Genomic DNA, 27,660 nt, shown 5'->3' on the forward strand with positions numbered 1-27,660 from the left:
CCTGGGGCTCAGGGGTCGCCTGCTTAGTGACAGGTTTTGGTTGAACCGAGTTGGATATAGATTGCCTTTGTGTTTGGATGCCACACATTCTTGGGAAGCTCGTCCTAAACCAGATTGCTGTAAAATAAGATATTGACTAAGTGTTGTTCCTATATATATAGAGAGAGATGAAGTATAAACTCTGCTCCCCACAGTCAGCATAATGGAAGATACAGTCAAGGCACGGAAGAGGGAGAGCTCTATTCCTGGGGGTAATAATAGAAGGTGTCCCAAAGAATCTCAGACAAAACATTATAGTTGTACAGGCAGAGAAGAAGGGGCACTGTGTTTCAGGTGGTGTGAGTAGCAGATTGAAGGAATGAAGATGTATGAAGGTGACGAGTCCCCGGAATGTGTAGTGTGGAGCGTGGCACATTGGAAAGTGACAGGTGATGGAGTTAGAGAAGGAAGCACGAACTGCTTCATGAAGGGCCTGCTATGTAACTTTTATAATTTGAACTTCAGTTTAAAAAGAATGAGGAGTCTTTACTAAATTTTAAGGGGCCAGAGTGAGGCAATCGTTCAGGTTGGCATTTTAGAAAAATAATTCTGCAATGTGGCCAGTGGAATGGAGCAGGGTCAGGCAAGACTGGTGATGGAAAGAGTTGTTAGGAGATTATTACAATCGTCCGAGAGAACCAGTGCAGGCTAAGCCAAGGAAATGGCAGGGATGATCGATAAGAAAGGATGTAAAAGAGGTGGAATTAATTGGATTTTATCCCTCTACATGGGGAAGTGAGGGAAAGGGAAAAGCAATTAAAACTAACTCCTGGGTTGCTTTTTTGGTGCCATTCACAGAGTTAGGGGTCTCAGGAAGAGAAATGTGTTTTGGGGTAGGGACAGGAGAGAGACTTGAGTCTGAGACATGTTTAGGTTTGGGATTTGCAAGTAGAAATGCCCCCTTGGCAGGTGCATCTGTGTATCTGGGCCTGGCACAGTCGCCTGGGGTGGAGGTGGAGATATGTGATCTATGGGCATATGATGATAGTTGGAGCTATCAGTTTAGCTGCATTCATCTAGGGGAAGGTACGCAGGGTAAAGACTGTAGAGGGCTGAAAACGAGTCCCTTGGCGTACAAATATTTAGTGACAGTGGAAGGAAGGGAAGCGTGAAGAAGACCAAAAAAGAGCTATCAACCTAACTGTATTTGTGAGAGGGGATAGTTGCAGCATGGTCTGGGGCTGGAGGGAGTTTTGTTGGTTTGTTGGACCGTTTGTTTAAAGGAAAGAATGGAATATATTCATAGAGGAGAAAGAGCCTTTGGAGAGATTACTGGTACAAGAGAGATGGCATGATTTCTAAGTGACATCTTTGAGGAGACAGAGTGACGGGATAGGGTATATCCAAGACGCGAGGAGATGGATTAGTAACACCTGCCGCCTGACCAGGGGAAGGCACCCTTTTCCTGTTGTTACAAAGGTAGGAATGAAGGATTGAAGCATGGCTGCAGAAAAGGCACAGATGTTTATGAATGGGAATACAGGGCTTAGACATTAGGGAGCTTCTTCTCTGTTGGCTTCTCTGTTCTCAGTAAAGAAGAGGACAAAGCCAGTTTTTTCCCCAGTTGAAAGTAGCGTGGGAGGGATAGACATTTTAACAAGTGAGATACATGATTAGCATAGTCTCTGAAGTTAATTGGAGAGAACAGCTAATACTTTCTTCTCCAAAATTTGGTTCTTGACTCGGCATGTGCTTATAGAGGCAGTCTACATTGATCAAGTAATTAGGAAGAATAGCGTGAAGCATCTGCTATGTTCAGGACACTGTGATGGGGGTCTCTGCTCCAGAGGTCGTGATGTTATCCTTCTAGAGCTCTTTCCTCATTCTTTCATGTTGGTTACAAATCATGGTTGCTTGTCTTCTCTCACGATAAGAGACTGAAGTGTTGTTCCTGGAGCTGCAATCTGTCTATAGCATGCTGAACTCATTCAGAGGAGTATATTGTCTCTATATTAAATTTTGCAATAAATGTTTAATTTCAGAATAGTTCTAGGTTTACAGAAAAATTGCAAAGAAAGTACAGAAAGTTCCTGTATAATCCATATTCAGTTTATCCTATTATTATCATCTTATATTAGCATGGTACATTTGTCACAATTGGTGAACCAATTTTTTTTTTACATTATTACCTGTATTCATTTTTGTTCTTTTGTTTCTAAACTCTCTTGCTATGACCTTTTCAGTTATCTTTGACAGTGGGAGAAGCACTTATCTACTAATGCTTCAGAAACCTGAGATGAACCAATAATTTGAAGCATCCCCTTTCTTGTGTCTTTGGGATTATCTTATCTTAAACCCTATGTCTTCTTATTTCAAAAATCATACACTTGGCAGGGGGGAAATGGTTGCAGAGAAAAAGTAAATATCAACTGGGATTTTATCAAGTTCATATGACCCTACTGTGAGTTATATGTGTGTTTAATTTAAAAAGTATTATTATTTATTAAATGCAATTTGACACAAATCTTTTTTAAAATGGGGTTCATCGGGGATTAATAATGAAGAATGTTTTTTGGTGACAAGATCGTGTACCATCGCCAGTAATAAAATAGTTCTCTATGTCTTTGCCTCTAGATGGCACTGATTTTATATTTGCCCATGATTTTTAAGCTATTGAGTTTGGAATAAAAAAGCCTGTTCTTTTCTGGCTAACACTGTGTCTGTGCTCATTTGTGCACTCTGTTTTTACTTCACTCTCAGCAAAACACAGAATTAAGACCCTGTTTTAGTTCCTGTAAGAGTCCAGCCATTACAAAATCATTCATGAGTGATCTAGTATTTGCTGATGAATTCATAAGGAAGAGAGCATTTGTATCATGTAACCTATATGGAATCATTCTGAAAAATATTTAATGGATCTGTATTTTCTCCAAGTGCCTTTTTCTGTTGTCGGTGGGCAGTTGTCCTGAGCTATTCCTCCAGGTGGAACTTTGCTCTCTGGTATCTGCTTCTCAAAGCCAGGATATTTCAAAATCCTTTTAAAAAATCCCTTTTGTCATACTTGTCCTACAGAATTATTTAGCAGGTATCTTGTATTCCATGGGCCCCTTTGGGTTTTCAGTTCTCCGTCATATCTGTTTATTGTTGCCCTCCCCTCACATCCACAGATGTCAAAGAATCTCTTTACTTTTTACTCAGAGAGTAAGATTTTTCCTTCCTAATTAAGCTGCTAAACTTTTCTGTCAGATCCTTTCTAATAGAATCATACAGCTAAATGAAACAGTTAAAAAATATCGGCTTGCAGAAATATTTTATGGCTTTGGACATAGCGTCATTCTTGGACAATGCAAAAATGCCTTGTAGTTTGAAAATGTTACATCAGTTGACCACTGTGTTAGGCGAGTACTATTGTTGAGTTCTCCAAGCTGCTACTGTTCCTCCTCCCCTCCCTTGCCATCTTCTCTCTTGTGTCCTGTCTCTCTCTCTCTCCTCTTTATTAAGATGCTGGTTGGCACAGCCTGGACTCTTAGTTATGACCTCCTTTCTTTCATGTACTCAATCTGTCTACTGAAACGATTTTGTTTGGCTGCATTACCTAGCAAGATTTTTCTATTAGCATTCTCTTGGGTCATCTCTTCACTGCTCAAGTCACTTGTACTTGCGTTTGGTATTGTGCAGAGCAAGAATGTCCTGTGGTGTATCCCATCAGACTTTACCTTTTTGGTCTATTACCTCAGGCAAAGATTGACTTATGAAGCTAGAATTAGTGAAATTGGTGATACGGTAGTGGCTAACTGACTTACCACCTGCTTGAAAATTTCAAATGCAGTTGAAGTGACATTATTATATTTGTCTTAATGTTACAATGGAAAAATGCCTGTAGTTTGAAAATGTTACATCTGTTTCTGATTTTCCTCTCTGAAACAAAGCTTTCTGAATTCTGCTCCTACTACAGTTTTTTTGTTTTTGTCGTTGTTGTTGTTATTGTTGTTTTTGTTTGTTTGTTTTTTTCCTGAGAGAGGGTGTCTCTCTGTCACCCAAGCTGGAATGCAGTAGCATGATCTCAGCTCACCGCAACCTCTGCCTCCTGGGTTCAAGCAATCCTCTTGCCTCAGCCCTCCGAGTAGCTAGGATTACAGGCACGCGCCACCACGCCAGGCTAATTTTATATTTTTAGTGGAGATGGGGTTTCACCATGTTGGCCAGGCTGGTCTTGAACTCCTGGCCTCAAGTGATCCACCCATGTCGGCCTCCCAAAGTGCTGGGATTACAGGCATGAGCCACTGCACCCAGCCTCTACTACAGTTTTTTTGTTCCAGTACTTACCTTGCTTGTTTAGGTTATTCAGAAAGTGAGTACTATTGCTTTCTTTCCCTGTGAGGTAAGGCCAGTTTCCAAGCCCATGCTTGGCCCCAGACACCTCAGGCAGGAACAGTAGGTATAATTATTTCATCAGCGTTAGGATTAAGTTAGAAAGCAATGAGTATGTATTCTTTTGCATCGCACATGCTAAAAATATCCTTACTCAGCACCCTTGATGGATCCTGCCTTTTATGAGTCCCCAGGTAACCACAGGGACTGCTCAAGTTCTACTGTTACTTCAAGGATTATTTTGATTGTTTTCTATGACACATCATCTTTCAGAATTTTATAAACCGAACAACAGTATCACAAACCAGTGTCTTTTCTGTGTGAAGGCTTTCTTGTGAACAGCTCCTGGGTTTGAGCAATATTTCTTTCCCTTACAGTGTATATAAGGAACATTTATTTGGTCAGTTCTCAAACATATTATGCCTACATTTCTTCTGCTGTTTTTCTTTGGTTCTCTTCTATTCCCTTAGTTTAAGAGGAAAGGGGCTGAGATAACCAGTGTCAAGCCCGGGTGTCCTAATAGCTGCCCCAGGTATGGCCCCTTTCCCGTACTCCATGTTGCCTTTGGGAGTTCACATGGCCTCTAACCACACAGTGCCTTCTTATGAATAATGTGGAACATGATCATAGCTTACATGTTTTTCAAAGCAGTCCTCCTGGAATAACCCAAGAAACTGTTCACATTGATGCAATTGCACATATGCTAAGTGCATTTTAAAGGCAGACCTGAATTTATCACTTTTTGAGAAATGTATTAGTCCTTGTTCAATAGGAATGATATAACTAGGGTAAACCGTCATTATTTTATTCAGGGTGCCTAAAGCAGTAGAAGTGTGTGGAGCTATTGCAGCTCAGCTCTGTTCATGAGTGTTTTATGTCCAGTTCTAAATCCTATTCATCTGACCCTATTGCCCCTTTTAATACTGAAGCTGAAGAGAGTGATAGTATATATTCCATCACGGAAATAACCACAGAGCCTGGAAGATGGGGTCATGACTTGGAGATTTTGGGTTGAATTCAGGCTCCACCATTTACTATGTCATGGTACATGTTATTGAACCTCACTAAGCCTCAGGGTTCTTAGTTGAGAAATGGGGAAATAATAAGGATTGTGAAGATTAAAGAAAACCATATAGTATGTAAGATAAGCACTCAGCAAGGTAGCAAAGGTACTAAACGGTGTGTAACTATTAACCGTTAGTACTGCAAGTGGCAGTGAAGTGTGTTATAGGATCATGTTATCAGTCACAGGAACTCAGAGTCAGGATAGATAAGTGTTTAGCATTAATTTGTAAGGCAGATTGTATAGATGAAACTGGTGGTCAATAGTTATTTTTTTTTTAATGGCTGGTATAAAAATGACTACTTTGGGAGCCACAGACCAGTCCTCAATATCTCCTTGAAAATCTACTATCATCCAAGCCTCATTTTCACTTTGCCACTTGTAGGATTTTGCAAAGAAGCAAATTCTTCTTCTGTCCGTTTTCTTTTTTCTGTGCCCTTTAAATGTGTGTTTAAAATCTAGACCTTTTGGGAAAATCTTGTTGGCTTTCTAAATTTTAAATTTAATTGGCTTTTGCAATCTACTTTTATTCTTAAATCTGATTAGAAGTAATTCCTTGCTCAGTAATTCCTCAGTAGTTCTGAACTACTTTCTGTGGCTTTTGTAAGCAGTTGTAGTTGGGGTTGAATTTGTATTCTGGGTCATTTGGATTTGCACAAGGACAGTTAGGAAAATGTCAGAGAAATAGAAGCAGTCCTAGTGGAAAATAAATTATACAAACTGTTGGGTGCGATTAATGGAAATTAATTTAATTTCAATACTGTGGTATCTCCCAAACATAAAGGTAAGTGAGAGGCAGATACTTAGAGGTCCCTGGAATCAAGGGTGAGATTGGTCCTGGACTGATGTCTAATTGGCTGAGTGATCTTACCCTCTCTGGGTCTTTACCTTTCTGAGTTTCCTATCCTTATATGGCATTGGTTAATGGACTACAGTCTCTTCCAGCTCCAGTGTTATATTTCCATTAGAAATAATCTCTGCCTTTGATTAGTCTTGTTCTTCTGTGTTGTGTTGTGCACATGGCCTTATGAACTGCTGCTTTTCCTTATTTCAGGGTTTTGAAAACTTTACTGTGTTTTACAGTTATATTTTGGTCATACCCATATAGTGCATGTATGATTAGATCTTAATAATTTTCTAAAAATAGCCTTAAAGTGACTGACCTCTTTTGCTTAGCGCTATTCTAAGCTATAGTACCTGTGAAATCATGGGTTTGATAGGAGAGTTATATATTTTTCTATACACATTGAAAGTATTATGTAGTTATTAAAATGAAGTACTTAGCCCACCTGCTCTCTCAGCTACTCAGGAGGCTTAAGTGGGAGGATTGCTTGAGCCTAGGATGACCAGAATGACCACATTGGACTGAAGCTTAAGCTTTAAGACCAGCTTGAGCAACATAGCAAAACACTTGCTCTAAAATATATATATATACACACACACACACACACACACACACACACACACATGTATATATATGTGTGTATATATACATATATGTATGTGTATATATTATATATGTATATATACATATATGTGTGTATATATTATATGTGTGTGTATATATTATATATATGTATATATACATATATGTGTGTATATATTATATATATGTATATATACATATATGTGTGTGTGTATATATATATACACATAAAATATATTGATTTTAAATATCTGAAAATATTTTTAAAATTTATTAAAATATATGTAAAATAAGTTTTCACAATGGAATGTGTGCTGCATTTTGGGAATTATCAGTGGGTTTTTGATTTATTGCTTCAACCATTCCCTAATATGTCCCTAATATTTTTCATATGTACCTACATGGATATACTAGTATTTCTGATTGATCTATTGAAACTAGCTTGGTCGCAATAAATAATTGAATCCTGTAATGCACAGGTAGACTCTCAGGATTATTATAGGCTAACCATGGAATCCTGGAAAAGATACTCCCACAGATTTGGATTCCATGTGTGTAAAGGAGTGGTGGTTATGGTGTCAGTGGCAGCAGTGGAGGGTCTGGGAGTGACGATGCAGTGGCTCATGTAGAAGATGACAAGTGCTTTGGCCGGGCATGGTGGCTAACGCCTGTAATCCCAGCTCTTTGGGAGGCTGAGGTGGGCGGATCGCGAGGTCAAGAGATCGAGACCATCCTGGCCAACATGGTGAAACCCCGTCTCTACTAAAAATACAAAAAAAATTAGCTGGGCATGGTGGTGCGTGCCTGTAGTCCCAGCTACTTGGGAGGCTGAGGCAGGAGAATCACTTGAACCCGGAGGCGGAGGTTGCAGTGAGCTGAGATCTTGCCATTGCACTCCAGCCTGGTGACAGACCGAGACTCCACCTAAAAAAAAGGCAAGAAGATGACAAGTACTTTTAAAATTATAATACAGTTTACCAGTGTGAGGTATAATTAGTATTATCACGCAAACGTGTTGTTTGGAGAAAGGCACCCTTTTCCTCTTTGACCGTGGGTATTAGAGCTGTCCTCCTTGCGTGAGGATGGAGAACTGCTGAGATGCTCATTGGTCATCTCCTCTGTGATGTTTGTTTAGTATGTGGATGGAAGGGGCAGAGTGAGTGAGACATCTCGAGCATCCTGCTATGCATTTAGACTGAAAATGTGTTGGCTTTGGTTTTTATTGCCAGGAATGGTCATGGCCACATTGGACCGAAGCTTAAGGCTCTGACTTCCTAAATGATCAAGTATTTCTCCTTGGCTTGAGTAGAAATTTGAAAGAAGAGTTTATTTTCCTCTGGTAACTACATAATGACATTACTGTCAAAGAGGGGACTATTTAAGCTTCAGAATGAGGAGGAGCATAAAGCTGAAATAAATGTATGTGTGTATATGTACATACACGCACACAGTCCTGCACCGCAAAACATTTCAGTTTTAGTATATATGCTGCTGAGGTGAGCACGAGCAGAAAACATTTCAGTTAATGGCAGACCTCATATATGACAATGGTCCCACAAGATTATAATGCAGCTGAAAAATTCCTATCACCTAGTGATTTGTGTTACAGTTGCCTACAGTATTCAGTATGGTAACATGCTGTTATAGATTTGTAGACTAGGCACAATAGGCTATACTTCATAGCCTAGGTGTGCATAGTGGGCTATACCATCTAGGTTTGCGTGACTACACTCCATGGTGTTCGCACAATGACAAAATTGCGTAATGAAGCATTTTTCAGAGTGTATCCTCTTCCTTAAGTGACACATGCTTGTGTGTGTACATATATGTACATATAAAAATTACAGTAAAACTATGAAGGTTTTATTACTCAGGTTTTATAATCTAAGTACCTAATTAGAAAATGTCGAACTGGGTGATATCTTATGGAAACTCTGCTGTTTTTCTTGTACCTTCTGTAAGTGACATGGAGTAGGGGCTGTTTGTTTTCTCTTTCAAGTGTCACTTTGAAACATCTGTGTTGTTAGTAAGGGACAGTGTTTTTTTTTAAAAAAAAAGCATTTGGTGTCCTTAAATAACTGCAATATAAAAAGATTTTTTTTCTTGATGCTCGTTAACTTTTGACGTCACACTCATTTTGCCATTCGAAGTGGTACAGAAACCATATTCCATTGTCTAAAAAAGGATGATCTGCGTCTTTTGTAGGAGAGTAGGACTGTCACCTTGTAGGCCTCTCTCTTTTTTTTGCCGTTTCTTAGTTTAGCCAGGCTTATTCTGCAAGGCCCTGCTCTAGTTCTCTTTTCTAGCTGAATGACCGTCAACATTGTGCTGATTGGTTTTGAGACAGAGTCTCGCTCTGTCACCCAGGCTGGAGTGCAATGGTGTGATCTTGGCTCGCTTCAACCTCTGCCTCATAGGTTCAAGCGATTCTCCTGCCTCAGCCTTCTGAGTAGCTGGGATTACAGGCATGCACCACCACACTGGGCTAATTTTTGTATTTTTAGTAGAGACAGAGTCTCACCATGTTGGCCAGGCTGGTCTTGAGCTCCTGACCTCAAGGAATCCACCTGCCTCGGCCTCTGAAAGTGCTGGGACTACAGGTGTGAGCCACTGTGCCTGGCCACTGATTGGTTTTTAATATATAATTGCAAGTAAATACTTCCTTTTATTACCAAACTAGATCAGGTAACAGAATTTTCACTTTTCCTGGACTATAAAAGATATTCTTTGGAACCTGGGGTCTTTCTGGCCCTGATCAGTTATTTATATTTTTGTTTAGTAGGGATGACACTCTCTACCTGGAGCCACATTTTGACCAAGAACACCTCATTTTTCTCTGTACCATTACTAGTGAAATATTCCCCTCCATTTCATCTTATTAGTTCTCCTCTCCTTATTCTCCACTAATTAACGTGTTCTGGGAGTAGTTTCCATCTTTGGAAAAAACAGCTTTATCTTCATTTGTAGGAATATCAAAACACTGTGTGCTTATAATAATTTTGGGGTTGGCCACTGTATTTCTAGCATTAGGAGAGACTGATGTTTGAATCCTTTCCTATTCCTCTTTTTATCCTTGTAGTAACATTTGTTGTTTTCTCTGCAACTTCAAATGTAACCTTGCTTATTGAGGAAATGTATAAAATATCTAAAAGCACTGAGAAGAAAAAAATTATGGGCAATCTGACCACCTAGTGGTGATAAATGTTTTTAATGTTATGGTTTTGTTTTAAATCTTGAATTTTAATGTTAATGTCATAGCCCACTGACATTCTAGTATTCTATTAGGATAACTCTATTTCATATATAACTATTCTTTAAAGAAAATTGTTATTGCTTGCTAATTTAATCTGTTGTATTTACTAAATTCATTGTTCTTAAAGAATAATGTTCATGAAACCTGGAATTCATATAAACTGCTTCCCAAGAGCTCCATGTTGCATGTATATTATGTTTAAAAGGTACTGAGAGATTTTTAAAAATAGATTCTAGTAATTAAAGGCTATTTTTATCTTTCAGTTAATTTCCTCAGGGGAAATAAATTCCAGTGATGCTAAAGTTGCTCAAATATTGTTAGAGTTGTGTTTAATTTCACCGTTATATATTGTCATTGGTCCTCAGCCTTCATCCCTTCAGAGATTTGTTTTTTGCATAATCATTTGTAAAAAATCATTTGGCTACAAGGCTGGAATTTGGGGTTGTCAAGCGGAGTAATAATACTGTTTTGATTAAGAACAAGGTATAAAAGTATGAGGATTTTTCACCCCCTGGGAGATTTATAATTTGATTCTGAAAGCAGTTTATGAAATCAAGTTCCGGAAACTTCCACTTCTTTCACAGACTAGATATGCTGGCTAAAAAAACCCCAACTAGACTCCACATAAAATAATTTTGTTACAATTTTTAGGCTCACCGAAAGTGACAGAACTTCCCAAGGGAGAGGGGAGAAAATGGAAGGAACTGAGCGCCAGGAGCAGTGAGCTGACATGAAGCGTGTGGAGGTGCTACAGCTGCTGTCAGCAGCAGGGCAGCTGAGCGATCAGGCCTCTTGGTAGTAGTGGCAAGATGGGGAAGTCAAACCTGGGCCCCTCACCTTCACCTCTTCAAGAGCGGTAAATTGGTTCCAGGGCTGTTGCTGCCCTGGTTACACACAGTCTTTGAAGGCAAGTGTCCCCTACCTAGGCCCTCACGTTTCCCCCTGATTTGATATCATCCAGCCTAAGATCACCACACACAAACCATCCTGTGTGAAAATCAGCAGAAATCACACCCAGTTGCTTCAGCTATTTGAATTCCTTGGCGCAAAGTATAAAATAACTGTATGAAATCTTTAAAGAAGTAGAAAATACAATCTCAAATACGTATAAGTAATAAAAATGGTTTTTAACAAAAGATCATACATGAGTTATTAATCAATGAGAAGACATGGGGGAAATGTACATGCATATTACTCATGAAGGAAGACAAGCTGAAAAGGCTCCATACTCTATGTTTCCCTCTATATGATATTCTGGAAAACACAAAGCTAGGGAAACAGTGAAAAGAGCAGTGATGATCAGGGGCCAGTGCGGAGACAGTGATGAATTGGCTGAGCGTAGAAGATTTTTAGGGCACTGAAAACACTGTGTGATACTATAATGGTGGATGTATGTTCGACATTTGTTTAAACCCATAGAATGTACAACTCCAAGAGTGAGCCCTAAGGTAAACTAAGGACTTTGGGTGATTATAATGTGTCAGTGTAAGTCCATCTAGTGTAACAAGTGTACCACTCTGGTGGAGGATGCTGATAGTGGAGGAGGCTGTGCATGTGTGGAGGAGGAATTATATGGGATATCTCTGTATCTTCCTCTCAGTTTTGCTGTGAACCTAAAACGATGCTTAAAAAAGTCTTTATTTAAAAAAAGAGACTATGCCGAATTGAGAAAGAACTAAATAGAACATGTAAAATTGAAAAATGTGTTTGCTTGAATTTAAAAACATGTCCTTTTTCTGGACTAGAATTCAATCTAGGATTACATGTTATATTTTTCACGTGTCCATCTCCTTTATTAAATTGGGATAGTTACTCAGTCTTCCTTTGTTTATTATGACTTTGATGTATTTGAAAGGTACTGGCCATATATTGTTACTCAGTCTTTCTTTATCATGACTTTGATATGTTTGAAAGGTACTGGCCATATATTTTGTGTCATGTTTCTCAACTTGACATGATTTTGTATTTTCTCATGGTGAAATTCATATTCTACATTTTTGACAAAAATGCCATGGAGATTTTGTTGTGCCCTTAGTGAGTTCTATCATGAAGAACGTGGTGGTGATATGTTAACTCTGATCACTCGGTAAATGTGGCATCCATTAGGATTCTCCGCCATTATTATTTTCCCCTTTGTAGTTAATAGTGTTTGCAGGAAGATACTTTGAGACTGTGTAAATAGTTCTCATAATATTTTGCCCTATTAACTTTGGATTCCCTTGATAATTTTTGCCAGAAATTATTGTGGTGTTTGTCAAATGGTTATTTTCTTTCTAATTTATTCTAAAGGTATTAATTAGAATTTTACTGTAAGGAAGACCTTTACCTTCTCTCCCATATATTTATTTAATTATTTATATCAGTATGGCTTCATGAATATTTGGTTATTGTATGGGTTATAACCTATTACTAAAATGATTTATTTTATTGCTGAAATTTACCCAGGTTTGGTCTTTGGGAGCCCCTTAAGTAGTTTTCTGTGTCCTCTGACATGTTATCATTTTTTGTCCCCATGAGATATCCCAGATTCATCTTTTACTTTCTCCACCCCAGCCCTGGAATCAGTCATTTCTTTAAGAAACTCTGTTCCTTTTTTATTAAAGAATGGTATTTAGAAGCCTAGACCTGAGTATACTTATTGCCCTAGGGATATCATTACTTGTAGGCCCCCTCTAGTGACAGAGCTAGGAAATACATATACCTACTTCTATTTCCGTATTGATGTATCTGCATATATGTTACAAAATATGAATTCATATGAGTACCTCCAATCTAAGCCAACACCACATGGCTCATTCTAGCCCTCCCCATTGCCTTTGATAGTGACAGTGAGAAACCTGGTTCTTCTTACTCATGACATATTTATTTTCTTGTTCAGTCCTGGAATGAACATAAAGGTAGTTTCATAATTGTTAACACATACCTCTGTGGAAAAAATTTGCTAACTAGTGTACAATATTTGCTATGTTTATTTTGTTTTTCATCTTATTTAGTTAAAATACTGTTTTTGAAAGTTATTTTGGTTAATTCTTTTCTTCTCCACTCTCTTTAAGTGGCTGTCATTTATTTAGAATAAACTTCTGTCCATCATTACTGTTTGTATTCCATTTGTGTTCTTCCCACCTCTGGGTAGATTTTATATTATTTTATTATTATTATTATTATTATTATTATTATTATTATTATTATTATTATCATCATCATCATCATCGAGACGGAGTCTCCTTTTGTTGCCCAGGCTAGAGTACAGTGGCATGATGTAGGCGCACTGCAATTCCTGCCTCCCGGGTTCAAGTGATTCTCTTGTCTCAGCCTCCCAAGTAGCTGGGATCACAGACGTGTGCCACCACGCCTGGCTAATTTTTGTATTTTTTGGTAGAGATGGTGTTTCACCATGTTGGCCAGGCTGGTCTTGAACTCCTGACCTCAAGTGATCCTCCTGCCTTGGCCTCCCAAAGTGCTGGGATTGCAGGTGTCAGGATTTTATTTTTAATGTTTTGCGTAGATAAAGTATTAACGTCCTTCTAAAACTCAGAACTATACAACAAGGTTTACTTAGAGGTCATGACCCCCACTCTGCCATTCATTATACTCTATTCCCATTCAACCATTTTTTCCATCCTGTTTCCACCACCTCTGTGTAGGTGATTTATTTTTGTTATTTCTAGCCTATCCTTCCTTTTTTTCACAAATGAGATGATTCATGTGTATTTTATTATTTCTTACATGAAAGGTAGCAAGTAATATATGCCCTCTTGCACTTTGCCTTTTTTATTTATCAGGATGTCTTGAAAATCATTCCATATCAGTCCAGAGAGATCTTCCTCGTTCTTTATTACACCTGCAAAAGTACTCTATTGTATAGGTAGACCATAGTTTATTTAACATCTTTCCAATGTGAGACTTTTTAAAAAAATATGGTGCAGTTACAAACAATACTACAATGAAAATTTTGTGCATGTGTATTAATGTTGGAAGTATATTTTCAGGGTAAGTAGTTAGAAATGGAAGGACTGGGTCAAGAGATCAACAAATATGTAGTTTTGTTGGGTGTTGTCAAATTCATCTCCAAAAGGGTTCTACCAGTTTCCATTTTCACCAGCAAAGTATGACTGTACTTATTTTCCAAAGCCTCAGCGTATTCAAAAGAATATGTTGTCTGACTTTTAACTTTTTGCCATTGTGATAGAAGTATTATGTCAGTGTTATTTTAATTTGCTTAATTTGCTCTTTAAGTTTGAATTCCTTTTCATGTGTTCAGGGGTCATTTTCATATCTTTTTTTTGATGAATTGTCTGTTCTTTTTCTATGGAGTTTTTGGCCCTTTGTCAACTTTTAAAAGTTTCTTTACGTTAGTGGTATTACCTCTTTGTGGTGTATGTTTCCTGACTTTTGTTCCCCTTCTTTTTTTGTCAGTTTTCAGGTGGAAAGACCTTTATGTGTGTGTGTGTTTGTATGTTGTTAATGGGAATGATTTTTAGTTTTATTGTATTTTAATCAGAGAGTATAGTTTATTATTTCTTCTTTATGGAATATACTTATTTCTTTGTGACTTACTATGTGATCAATTTTTGTTAATATTCTCTGGGCCCTTGAAAATAAAATGTATTTTTCATTATGAAGGGAGTAAGTTTAATATGTGTGTATGTGTGTGTGTGTGTGTAAAATATACGTATACATATTTATGTATACACACATGATTTCATTTCCTAATTATGTTTTTAGGTCTTTTATCTTATTAATTTTGCACATTTGATCTTATACTAAGAATGATGTATTAAAGTTTCCTATTATCATTAATATTAATGTGTTTCTATGTGTGTCTTTTGCGTCCCCTATGGTTCTTTCTACACAGAGGTAATAATTGTCTTATTGATATATAGATATTCATAAGTGTTATACCTTCACTGTGATTTGAAACTTTTAGCATTAATACAAGATCTTCTTTGTCTTGCTCGGTGTTTTTTTGCTTGAATTCTACTTTTTCTGATTTTAAGAATGCTATGCTTGCTTTTTTATTGTATCCATTTGCCTGTTATATTCTGTCCATCCATTTGTTTTTAACATTGTTTTAGGTGTATCTTTTGTATAGTTGAGTCATGCTTTGTGGCCAGATTTATTTTTTTAAGAGGTGAATTAAGCCTGTTCATATTTATTGATATTACTTTCACATTTATTGAGTTATTGATATATTCGATCTGAACTTTATCATAATATATTGTGGTGTTATATATGTCATAACATGTTACATTTTATTTCTCTACAATATATGTTTTATTATGCTTTTGAATTGAAATTTTGGTTGCTCTTTAGAAAGGTTATATTTTTGTTTTAATGGTTGCTTTTATACTTAAAACTTTTAAAGTCCCTTATCCCTCATTTTTAACTTTGTTCTTAGTAAAAGTATTCTTTAACTATTGCCTATGCAATAATCAGTATATTCTACTTTCCTCTTTGCTGCTTTCTTCCATTGTTTAGTTACGTTATTTCTACTTTGTCAGAACATATAACAATTGGATATTAGTCTTTCAATGTAATCCCCAGCTTTTAGTCTGAAATCTGTAATTTTTATGTATTAACATGTTCTCCATTTGTTTTGTGCTGAAATTTTCCTAGTTATTTATTACTTGAACAAGGCTCATGCTTTGGTAAATTCTTCAGAAAGAGCTCATTAATGTGACATTCCTATGCTCTTGTGTGTTTCACGTTTTTTCTGTAGACTTGGTGCTTTAAGGACAGCATTGATGGATATAAACTTCTTGACCCACATTTTTAAAAACTGAGTTGTTTGAAAATGTGGCTTCATTGTTGTCTTGTTTCCGTGTTGTTTTTGAAGAATCTGATGCCACTCTGATTGCTTTACTCCTCTACATTAGTTGATCTTTTTGCCTAGAGGCCTTGACGATTTTCCCCATTATTTATGAAATCTGTTTTATAAGAATATGTCCTATATTTGATTTTTCCAGGTTCTTTTTCACAGGTACCCATTTTATCTGGTATTAGTTCTGCTCCATTGTTTTTTTTTCCCTCTTTAACGGACTCCAATTATATAAATGTAATTCCTTCTTTGCCTGTGTTCCATTTCTACCACTTTCTTTCTGATTCTTCTTTCTTTATTTTACCATCCTCCTTCTGGTTGTTTTTCTCCTTTTCTTCAATGCCCCCTCATTAAATCTTGATTGATTCCATTGTCCCTTGCATGCTTTGGAATTTAGATTTTGTTTCTGAGATGATTTTATTTCTTTTTTTTTTCTGAGTTAAATCAATTCTCTTTTCATTTTTTCTCTATTTTTGTTCTTAATTTTTGAGTTTCTGACTAAAGCAATTTATATCCTTAAATGCTTGATTGAGCATATGTAACTTAGTTTTTAAGTATTAGTTTGTGTTTCTTTTTAGTGCTCCTTAGTTTTGGGGGGTGGGTGGGAGAAAAGTTGGATTTTCATTAGTTGAGCTCTTTTGAATTGACTTTCTGATTTTTGAGTAATAATTTTCTATATTTTTATTGAATTTATTTGTCGTTCCTTTTTGGTTGTGTAAAAGACTTCCTTAGTCTCTGGTGCCCTCTTCTGTTAGTGTAGCAATGCACACTTTAGTGGTTTATTTATTTATTTTTGGTGTGGGTTAGAGAATGGTTTTGTAAATCCTCTAATTTTTTAGCTGTGCTTTATCTTTCACAACCTTGAATTTTCTCATTTGCATCTTTTTTCTCTTCCTACTCAATTGAAAAGGTTGTCTTTCGCTTTGTATTAACTCCTTTTTCTTTTATTGTAACTATGGTTTTGGGATCCTCTCACTTCAAATTGGGCATGCTTTTACACCACTTTTCTGTGGTCCCTGCTCAGGCCTACTAGGACACTTTTTAAAGGCTTTTCACACTTAGTGTAACTTACACTTTCTGGGTTTCTAAGGTCAACCTTAGCACCTCACTCATTCTCCTCTCTTTCTCTTATTTTTTCCAGCTTGCTCTTGCTTACTTCAAAGCCTTATCAGTGGGGTAGGAGTATAACAGTTCTGTCCCTAGGTTTTGACTGGCATTCCTTCCTGCCTGCCTGCCTGCCTGCCAAAGGCATTGTGTTCAATAGTTTTATTTGTTCTTGTTGCTCTAAATTATTTTTAGAGGAAGCATTGACAGCCGTCATTGTCTTTAGTCCTCATAAGAATAATTTGAGGCCTAGGATATTAGAATATTTCTCTGAAAACGGTTTTGTCTCATTTTGCTGGCCAGTTAGAGGAAGTATGTCTGGGATTGCCTTAGATCATCTTCGTAGCCTGAAGCTCTCTCTATTGTTCAGAAAATGTGATACCTGACTGCAAGTCTACACAAGGACTGGTTTACTTTTGTGCTCATCCTCATCAGGGGGATGAGTCTTTTAGGGACTCAAACACCCCAGCTTGGTTCCACAGCAAAGCTTTCCCTTTTGTCTCACTTCCATGGTAAGCTGTTACAACCCATGTTCAGGTTTTCAGTTGATAGGTTAGATAGGCAGATACTCTCAATGCTTCTCTCTGGCTTTGTGCTTACTTTATTTTTTATTTTTATTTTTTAATTTTTTACCCCTGGCTTCATGCTTCCTGTAGAGTTCAGTCACTCCTCTCTATCTCGGTTTTACTTCTTCAATGCTGTTAAGAATTTCTGTATTTTTTTCAGTAGCATTTATCAGGAAGTTTGGTTCTAATTATCAAAACCAACATTACTAGAAATGGCAGCTGACTCATTCTTTTATTAAAACATTTTTTATGTTTGATTATGGGACTTTGGGTGGGAAGAATGATACATTCATTTGCTCAGTTATCCCTTTTGAGCCAATCTTCTACCAAGTAAAGACCTGCTGTGTCACTGACCAGAAAGTTACTTTATTTCAGTGGTAAAGCAGCTTATGACTAATGATAGCTGTGGTTAATAATCATGAAGACAATAATGAGGAAAACTTATTTAGCCATTGGAATGTGCCAGATACTCTGTATTTTTTATATATTATTTTGTTTGTAATAAAATCTACTAATTTACTATTATTATTCCCACTTTATAGATGATTCCCTGAGGCTTAGCTACTGTATCACTTGCCTAAGTTTACACAGATAGTAAGCGGCAGAAACATGTTTGAGGCTCTGCCTTGAGCCTTGGAGATACAGGACTAGCAAATTCCAGCTTGCTTCCTACCTTCATGGACCTTACAGGATTTAATTCCTCGACACTGTGGGATGGTCAGGGATGTAATTTTAGAATATGAAAGCGATTCACTAGTATTTCCACTAGAATTGAGGATAATGTCTCTTGTTGGGAACTGACTATAAGTTCATGCAAATCAAAAACAGATTAGCAAAGATCAGAAGAGTGTCTTAATTCTCTAAAAACCCCCCATACCATGTAGCGTAGTGTTTTCTTCAGAGTTGTACTAAGTGAATGTTAATTTCATTACGTTTATTGACAGGACATAATGAGTCTTATTCCCACATTATAACTTTTTAGAGTCAAAAGATTCTTAGCAGAATTTTAAAGTTATCTGATATAGATGGGCCAGGATATTTTCTTTATTTATACTTTCCTGTTGGTTTACAGTTATTTGCTGGTATAAAGGATGGAGAAAGCCTGCAGCTCTTTGAACAAAGTTCTCGCTCTGCGCATAAACAAGAGACACACACCATGGAGGCCGTGAAGCTTGTAGAGTTTGATCTTAAGCAAACGCTTACCAGGCTCATGGCACATCTTTTTGGAGATGGTAAGTGCTCAAACACAGGTTGACGATCTCTTATCTGAAATACTTGGGACAGAAGTGTTTTGGATTTGGGTTTTTTTTTTTTTTTTCATATTTTGAAATTCTTTTTTTTTTTCCCCGAGACGGAGTCTTGCTCTGTCACCCAGGCTGGAGTATAGTGGTGCGATCTCGGCTCACTGCAACCTCCACCTCCCGGGTTCAAGGAATTCTCCTGCCTCAGCCTCTGAGTAGCTGGGATTATAGGCGCCCATCACCACACTTGGCTAATTTTTATATTTTTAGTAGAGACAGGGTTTTACCATGTTGGCCAAGCTATTCTCAAACCCCTGGCCTCGTGATCCGCCCACCTCGGCCTCCCAAAGTGTTGGGATTACAGGCATGAGCCACCGCGCCAGGCCTGAAATTCTTGCATATACATAATGAGATGTCTTGGGGATGGGAGCCAAGTCTAAACACGAAATTCATTTGTATTTCATATACACTTTACGCACATAGTCTGAAGGTAATTTGATATAATATTTTAAATAATTTCGTGCGTGAAACAAAGTTTTGACTGCGATTTGACTGAAAATCTTAATGAGTTCAGGTACGAAATGTTTCACTTGTGGCTGCAGATTGGCACTCAGAAACTTTTAGCTAGAGAAAGAAAAATGATTATAACGTTTGCTAAGAATGATAATGGATTAGGTCAGTCTCATCAATGGAGTGAAAATATACAGGCTGATTTGGAGTATATTATTATGTTATCATTACATGAGGACGTGATCAGTGGAGCAAGGTTCTTTTTTTTTTTTTTTTTTTTTTTTTGAGACGGAGTCTCGCTCTGTCTCCCAGGCTGGGGTGCAGTGCAGTGGGGTGATCTCAGCTCACTGCAAGCTCTGCCTCCTGGGTTCACGCCATTCTCCTGCCTCAGCCTCCTGAGTAGCTGGGATGACAGGCGCCCACCACCACGCCTGGTTAATTTTTTGTATTTTTAGTAGAGACAGGGTTTCACCGTGTTTGCCAAGATGGTCTCGATCTCCTGACCTTGTGATTCACCCGCCTCGGCCTCCCAAAGTGCTGGGATTACAGGCGTGATCCACGGCGCCCGGCCCAGTGGAGCAAGGTTCTTAACCATGTGAATGAACCAGTGGAAAACTTTACGTATTGCCATACTGATTACCACTATCAACAGGAGTATATTAACAGTATATTATATCAACAGCAAAAACATTAACAGTATATTTCGTGCAGGAGGAACAATAGTGTTGCAATCTAGACCTCACTTAGTCACTTGCCTTTATTTTTCAAAAAATATTTGTTTTCAGTAATGCCACCTTCCCCCTCCAGCTATTTTTAACTTAATTGAGATATATTTTGTTTTTTTAAATCACGATATAAAGAGAAGGTTAGTGGATTTTCCTAATTGTGACTATCTTTAAGAAATACTTACATTTCTTATCTGAGAAGACAGATGACCTACTGTGGTTAGGATTCTCCTTTACTCTCTTATTCTTGTGAGCTTTTGTAAAAGTCAGTGTTGTTGAGGTGTAATTAACATAAAGTAAGCTACACATATCTAAAGTGTACATTTTGATCAGTTGACATACAATGAACTGCACACGAACATACTCGCACAGTCTTACAAGTTTTGACGTCTTGCAAGTTCATGCCATGAAGCTACCAGCAGAATCAATACATGAACATCTTCATTGTCCCCAGGAGTTTCCTCCTGCTCACTGGCAATCCTTCCCTTCTGCCCTTACCACATCTCACCCCGGGCAACATGTGATCTGCTTTCTGGTGCCATTAATCAGTTTGCATTTTTTAGGTTTATATAAATGGAATCTTAGAATATGTGCTCTTTTTTGTCTGGCTTGTTTTACTTAAAATAATTATTTTGAAATTCATCCATATCATAGTGTATATGAGTAGTTGATTCCTTTTGTTAATCAGTATCCCATTCCACGATTTGTTTATCCATACATTCATTGATAGGTATCTGGGTAGTTTCCAGTTTTTTGCTATTATCAGTAAAGCGTCTATGAACATTCATGGATCAGTCTTTCTGGGTCGTACGTTTTCACTCCTCATAAACATAGGTATATGTTTAACTTAAAAAAAAAAACTGCTAAGCTATTATCTGAAGGGTTGCACCATCTCGATTCCCAACAGTAGTCTGAAAATGCCAGTTGCTGTACATCTTCAGCAACACTTGATAGGGTTAGTCATTTTAATTGTAGCCATTCTAACAGGAGTCCAGTGGTATGTCAAATACACATTTGGCATTTATAAAGGACTTCTCCATATAAACAAACAGAAATTGCAACTTAAGAGAAAAATGGGTGAACATGAAGGTGGCAAATTATATATATATATATATATATATAATGACCAATAAATATATGAAAAGATGCTTGTCTTTATTAGTAATCAGGGAAAAACAAAACCACAAAGAGCTTTTTCAAATGGGAAATAATTTTTTAAATCTAACATTTTAAATCGTTGACAAAGGTGTAGAGAAATAGAGTATAGCACAAAGTTCTGGCCTTACGCAGGATTCATGGTCACCGTTCTTCCAGCTGGGACTTCAGTACTCACTGTTCTTGATTCACCTCTATTTTTTCATACTCCAGATTTCCCCTACTTATGCCTGAACTCAAATATGTATTTAAAGAGAATCTTGTTGTAATTTATTAAGCCTCTCCTGCTCTGTTTTAGCAAGGTTTTTTAGAATATCTTGACTGCCATATTGCCAAACGCATAGTTCATGTAATATATAAGAAACCACTAGCTAATCTTCTGTATTTTTAATATAAATACATTTTCAAAAAGTGCACATCAACTTCAGGATAATGTTTTTCTAGGAAGTGGGAAATGGTATTAGGGAGGGGTGGAAACCATGTTTCAAATGGATTTATAATGTTTTTTTTTTTAAACTAAAGTTAAATATGACAAAATGTTATGGTTTGATAAAACTGAATAATGAGTATATGGGTGGTTGCTATTTTCTCTTCCTGTCTCTAGGTTTGATATATTTCATTAAAATGGCGTAATATAATAGTGAAATAGGTTTCAAATAGAAATTGCTGATGTGAAAAACCTATGATAGCCAGCATCTCTTTGCTTTCATGATAAAAGAAAGGAATTGTGATATTTTAAACATTTATATCATCTGTTTAACACAAATGCAGGGAGATGGATTGAGCTGTTCAGGCCATTTTAGAGGCAGGGTGAGGTAGAAGGGATTCTAGTATTTTAAGGAGGTAGCATTGTGTCTTAACAGAAAGATTCAGGCTCATCTGAATTTTTCCATTGCCAAACTATGGAGAGAATTTTTTTTAGCATCCTCCTTATTTATGTCATCCTACATATTTCTATAATCAAATGATTTGCTGTTTGGTGAGGTTTAGAAGCTGGATTTGCACCCTGTTGCAGGCATCACAATATTGAATAAGCTAGCCATACTCCCTGTCTTCAAAGAGCCATGGAGCCTTGGATCTTGAGCTCTCTCCTTGGGAAACATAGGATGTTCTCCGAGCACACAGGCAAGGCGCCTCCTCCTGAGCCCAGCCTGTGCTCCTGGAAGGCTCCTGCTGAGGCACATGCACGCTGACACCTGGTAAGTGGGAATTAGCCTTGGGAAAGGATAAGCAAGGTGGGGGGGCAGAAGAATGGGGTGAAAAATGACAAAGCAGGTGACACAAGTACTTGTGGAGAGCAAGCATGATGCAGCACAGTCCACGGAAAGAAGGAAAGAAGAGGCAAGGGGAAGAAAAATGATTGACAGTAGACTCTTATGACCATGGAGAAACGGTAGTGTAGAATCAGAAAACTTAAAATGAAGCTCCTGTTCATCCCCTTACTCTGAAGTCCTGAACAGGTCACGTAGCATTTCAGGTCTCAGTTTTCTAACTTTTAAAAGTTGTGATGATACTTGCTTCACTCAAGAATAAAACAAGATAACGTGAAAGATGCCTTGTAAGTAAAAAATATCAGATAAATATGTAAATATGAACAAACGGAAGAAGGAAGGAAGGAAAGGAAAGTTAAGACAAGACAATAAAAGCAGGGAGCACATGACGAAAGAGTAATACGATCAAAGAGCAACGGTCATGGCTGATTCGCCTTTATCATGTCTGAGGGAACAAGAAGGAGCTGTGTACCAGACTGTGGCACCGTAGCCTTATTGGTGCTGATGGTGGCTTTCATATCTGCACCAGGAGATATTTTAAAAAGTAAGCCATGTGCTGGCCTCTGTATAGATTATATAAGCTGTCCAAGGTGTTTCAGGATATATATCTCTCTGAAAATATGGTCCTAGACTTTCCTTTGTGTTATTTTTTATATTTGTATTTGCGTAGCTTTCAAATGCAGATGTCAGGTTTCCTTACAAAAAACAATTTATGCAATATATGACTTTTCTGACTGTGATGCCTGTCCTGACATGGTGGGCATGATCCTGGCCAAGAATTAAGAATCTTAAATTTGGGCCAGGCGCGGTGGCTCACACCTGTAATACCAGCACTTGGGGAGGCCGAGTTGGGTAGATCATGAGGTCAGGAGATCAAGACCTCCTGTCTAACATGGTGAAACCCCCATCTCTACTAAAAATACAAAAAAATTAGCTGGGCGTGGTGGCACACGCCTGTAGTCCCGGCTACTCAGGAGGCTGAGGCAGGAGAATCGCTTGAACCTGAGAGGCGGAGGTTGCAGTGAGCCAAGATTGCACCACCGTACTCCAGCCTGGGCAACAGAGCGAGACTGACTCAAAAAAAAAAAGAAACTTAAATTTTAGAATAGCAGTGAACTTGTAGCTTCTTTCATTTCGGCATATGTTGCTTTATTGTTTTAAAAATATTGTCAGCCTAGACTTTTGGTAGTCAGCTTTTATTACAGATCGATGTTGCTATTTTATAAATGTTCAAATTCACTTTTTGTCTGTAAGACTGAGCTGGCAGAATTATGGAATGGAATTAAAGTTTAAAAATCCACCTGCTTGGATAATACATGTTGGTTCACACGCATCAGAATCTATCTGGGAAGAAAGCCTTTTCTTTTTCTTCTTTCCTTTGAGCCATGGTCATTTTTAACCCCATCCACACAGTGGCCAGGCATCCTGAAACTGCTGAAAGGTGCCTCATTCACACACCCTTGCCATGCCCTGGTGTGTTTCTGCCGGTTGTGTTGCCACGAGCTGTTGTTGTAGAGGTGTGTGAGCTTGTCCCCGACCGTGTTTGCCGTGTTTGTGACGTCCGCTGTATTGCCTCTCAGGGGAGATGTGAAGTGAAGTGGGAAGGTGACTGGAACCTGGGCCCATCTGATGAACTAGAAGAGTGAGAGGGTCTGTATCACAGAACACAGACAGTGCTGTGTGCTTCCTTCATGCTCACACTGAATGTTAACAATGCTTTCAGGATTCTCAGCTGTTTCTTCTGAACTCTGAAGAAAAGTGCTTTGTTCGTTTTTGTGTTTTTTTGTTTTTTTTTTTTTTGAGATGGAGTCTCACTCTGTCATCCAAGCTAAAGTGCAGTGGTGTGATCTCAGTTCACTGCAAACTCTGCCTCCTGGGTTCCCGCGATTCTCATGCCTCAGCCTCCCACGTAGCTGGGATTACAGGCGTGCGCCACCACACCTGGCTACTTTTTTGTATTTTGTATTTTTAGTAGAGACGGGGTTTCACCATGTTGTCCACACTGGTCTCGAACTCCTGACCTCAGGTGATTCACCCACTTTGGACACCCAAAGTGCTGGGATTACAGGCGTGAGCCACTGCACCTGGCCGCGTTGTTCTATTTCAGGCATTTCAGAAGCACTAATTAGTTATGGGTTTTGGGTTCTTGCTGTTGGTTGGTTTATTAATTAAGTAATTTTGCTAGCTTCTGAAAAATGTCTTGGTAAACCTATCTAGGTGCCATCAACCTGGATTAAATTTACATTAATAATAGCAATAATAATGGTAATAATGGTGACGATAGAGATAATAGTTAACAGTGTGAAACCCTGTGCTAAGCACGTTGACAAGGAGTTTTTTCTTTTGACGTGCATCTATGATATGGGTGTTACAATCTCTGTTTTTCAGATGTTGTATTGAGAGTAAAAATTAGGTTTATAATTAATTGTTAGTGCTACATTCTTCTTAAATGGAATCACATCAAAAATTTTAAGTGTGTATCACTTTAAAAATTTTTAAACCATCTCTATGATATGGGTGTTACAATCTCCGTTTTTCAGATGCAGGAACCTAGACACAGAGAAAAAGTGCCATGTAAAAATCACAGGGCTGGTAAGTATTTGAGGCAGTTCGAGCCCACAGGCTGACTTCTAAGGCCATACCAGAAGTTAGCTTTTGGATAGGATACAAAGAAATCTTATTAGTAATATTTCAGAGACTGTGAGGCCTATAAAAGCCATGATGTCCCCCTGGCCAAACAACAACAACAACAAAAATCAGGGCCAGGCCCAATGGCTCACGCCTGTAGTCCCAGCTACTTAGGAGGCTGAGGCAGGAGGATTGCTTAAGCCCAGGAGTCCAAGGCTGCAGTGAGATATGATCATGCCCCTGCACTCCAGCCTGGCCAACAGACTGAGATCCTGTCTCTTTAAAACAAAACAAAACAAAACAAAACAAAAAATCGTCTTCTCTCTAGGTGCTGCCTCTGATTCTGCCTCTGATTCTTTCCTTTACCTTCTCTTCCCATTCAGTGCCTCCTGGTAGCTAGCTTGTGGTAAAGCCTCCATTTACTACATCATATCCAATTACATTCTGGGTAGCAAAGACCATTTAAAAACTTAAGGTTCACTCTTTCTATAATTAGTGATGAATGGGAACTGCCTCTACAGGCCTCAGAAATATTGAGCAACTCTTTTTATATTTGTTTTTATGGTCCAGGCTTTTCACCTTTTATTATTATTATTGGATTCCTTTGTTCTTGAAAAGCAAAATTAAAAATTAGAACACACTATTTCCTTGTGGCAGTATGTTATTACAGCTGCTTTAGTTTCAGGTTTTTTTCCTGTCCAAATGTGGTTTATTATTTTCTGCTAACATTTCAATTGTACCAGCATCCTAAGGCTATTATAAGAAAGGTTATCATTTTAGAATTAGAAAGAAATAAAATAACTCTTTAGACTATTTTTATGCTTGTGGATTTTGTTGTCATTTTTAATATTTCTCGAGTGTTTTCTGTATATTTTGTACTGTGCTTAGTAGATCATTTCTTTCAGAGTAACCAAGGTGGGGATTTAGGATTTCTAACTTTTAAATTTCTCTTTCTGTCCTTGAGTTTCCAGCCTTTCTTTGGCACAGTTTCTTTGCTAAACATTGGCATTTCCCTTTCTAAAGGATTGGCCTTGTAGCACAGTTTAGATTAATTAGTGTGAAGGAGAGATGGATTGGGACCCTTGGGGGAGTCATGTCTTGTCTTTGCTTGTTAAAAGACCTGTGGTGGTCATTGAAATGCACCTCCCAGCATGCCCTCCGAGGGTCCAGGCTGATGGGATTGCCGATCGCCTGCAGCTGTCAGCTTCTTGGGGAATTGCCTCAGCTGCAGGGAGCCTCCTTGCCCAAAGACATGCCCTTCCTGGGGCAGCCCACATCCGAAGACTGAATGTGGCAAGAATACAAAGGCCCTCCATGGGCCATTCTGATGGGCTGTCTGCTCCAGACCTCTGGCAAGGTAAAGGCTTCATTGGCCTGACTGTAGTTCGTTGACTTCTCCCTCTGCCCAGTTTGCTGCCACTGTCTTCATCCACACGTGTTGATTCCCTTCAGATAACGTGCTTGCCAGCCCAACCTGCATAGGGACCTATACATGGTCCCATCCAGCAGAAACATTCTAGGGCCCTGTGTTGTGAGTGATGTCCTGGTCAGGAGTGAAATCACTTGATCATGTGTAATAAGGAATCACGTCTTCCATACCTTTTCATATTTTTTTATCCATGAGGCTCTATTAGTATAAATGAAGTGAAAGGGATCAAGAGTAAGAATTAGATTTATAATTAATTGTTAGTGCTACATTCTTCCTAAATGGAATCACATCAAAAATTGTAAGTGTGTATCACTTTATTAATTTTTAAATCAGCTCTTTTGGGCTGGCTGCTGTTGCCTGGCTTGGGGAGTGTTATCCTTCTCAGAGTACTCCTAGACAGCGAAGTAGCCAAGGCAGTTGTTGCATTCAAGCAATTTTGACTTGTCTGTACTCGCCTCGCCGTAGCTTAGATGTAGTCTAGAGCAGGTTGCTCTTTCCGATAAAAACGGGCCAACACCTTCAACCTCTGAGACTTGGGATCATTAACTGTGAAAAGTGAAGTGCCTCGCTTTAAGCCAGTGGAGGGACTCAGTGGAAATAAGACACCACCCTAGGAATCAGGTGGAGAGAGGCCTAAGACACACTTTTCCTTAGATGTCTAGTGAAGTGGGAAAATATATACTAGGGTTGATCTGTTGGGGCTAAGGAATTGGTACAAGGGAACCTCTTTAGAGAAAGGTTGAGATAGCAATAGTTGAGCTGAACTATAATACTTTTAAGGAGCCCAGAAACCTTCCTGATTCTATGGCAGTTGGGCAGAGGATAACAGAGAGGTTCACTAATCTAGGGAAATAATAAATTGAAATTGTTTGGGGTTTTATGTTAATTAAAATAAAATTATTGGATCTTAAGGTACAGAGAAAAAGGCACTGAAAATTTTAGGGCTGCTGTAATGAAAACCATCAGTGTGCCTGGAACTACACCCATTGCAAACTATTTTTACTGGTACTAATAACTCTCAGGTGGTTGGTATACAGGTGACCTAGAAACCATTAAGATTTAGGGAGAGAGGGAAGATTCTCCTTCTACTCTTTAGGTTCATAGAAAGCTCAATTTCCTGA

The 27,660-nt window shown here is 38.2% G+C and overlaps 1 protein-coding gene across 23 annotated transcripts in view, besides 1 other annotated feature; it reads left to right on the forward strand.

Moving 5' to 3' along the window:
• Nucleotides 1-27,660, forward strand: part of FARS2 (phenylalanyl-tRNA synthetase 2, mitochondrial) — a 521,650-nt gene that overhangs the window by 135,956 nt on the left and 358,034 nt on the right. For 22 of the 23 annotated variants that reach the window (XR_007059197.1, XR_007059196.1, XR_926027.4 and 19 more), the window contains one exon: nt 18,653-18,812. Coding sequence is in view for 18 of the 23 variants with exons in the window: in XM_047418086.1 (XP_047274042.1) it covers nt 18,653-18,812 (160 nt within the window). In the remaining 5 variants the exon portion in view is untranslated. Of the gene's footprint in view, nt 1-10,743; nt 11,000-18,652; nt 18,813-27,660 lie in introns of all 23 variants that reach the window. The other variant, NM_001375260.1, reaches the window with a different exon arrangement.
• Nucleotides 25,991-26,500: an enhancer, noted in NCBI's record as "NANOG hESC enhancer chr6:5412113-5412622 (GRCh37/hg19 assembly coordinates)". NCBI's record gives its function as "activates a minimal SCP1, AML or CMV promoter by ChIP-STARR-seq in naive H9 embryonic stem cells {active_cell/tissue: H9 hESC(naive)}" and the evidence as "EXISTENCE:reporter gene assay evidence [ECO:0000049][PMID:30033119]".

Source organism: Homo sapiens, chromosome 6, assembly GCF_000001405.40.
Source record: "Homo sapiens chromosome 6, GRCh38.p14 Primary Assembly".
NCBI lineage: Eukaryota > Metazoa > Chordata > Mammalia > Primates > Hominidae > Homo > Homo sapiens.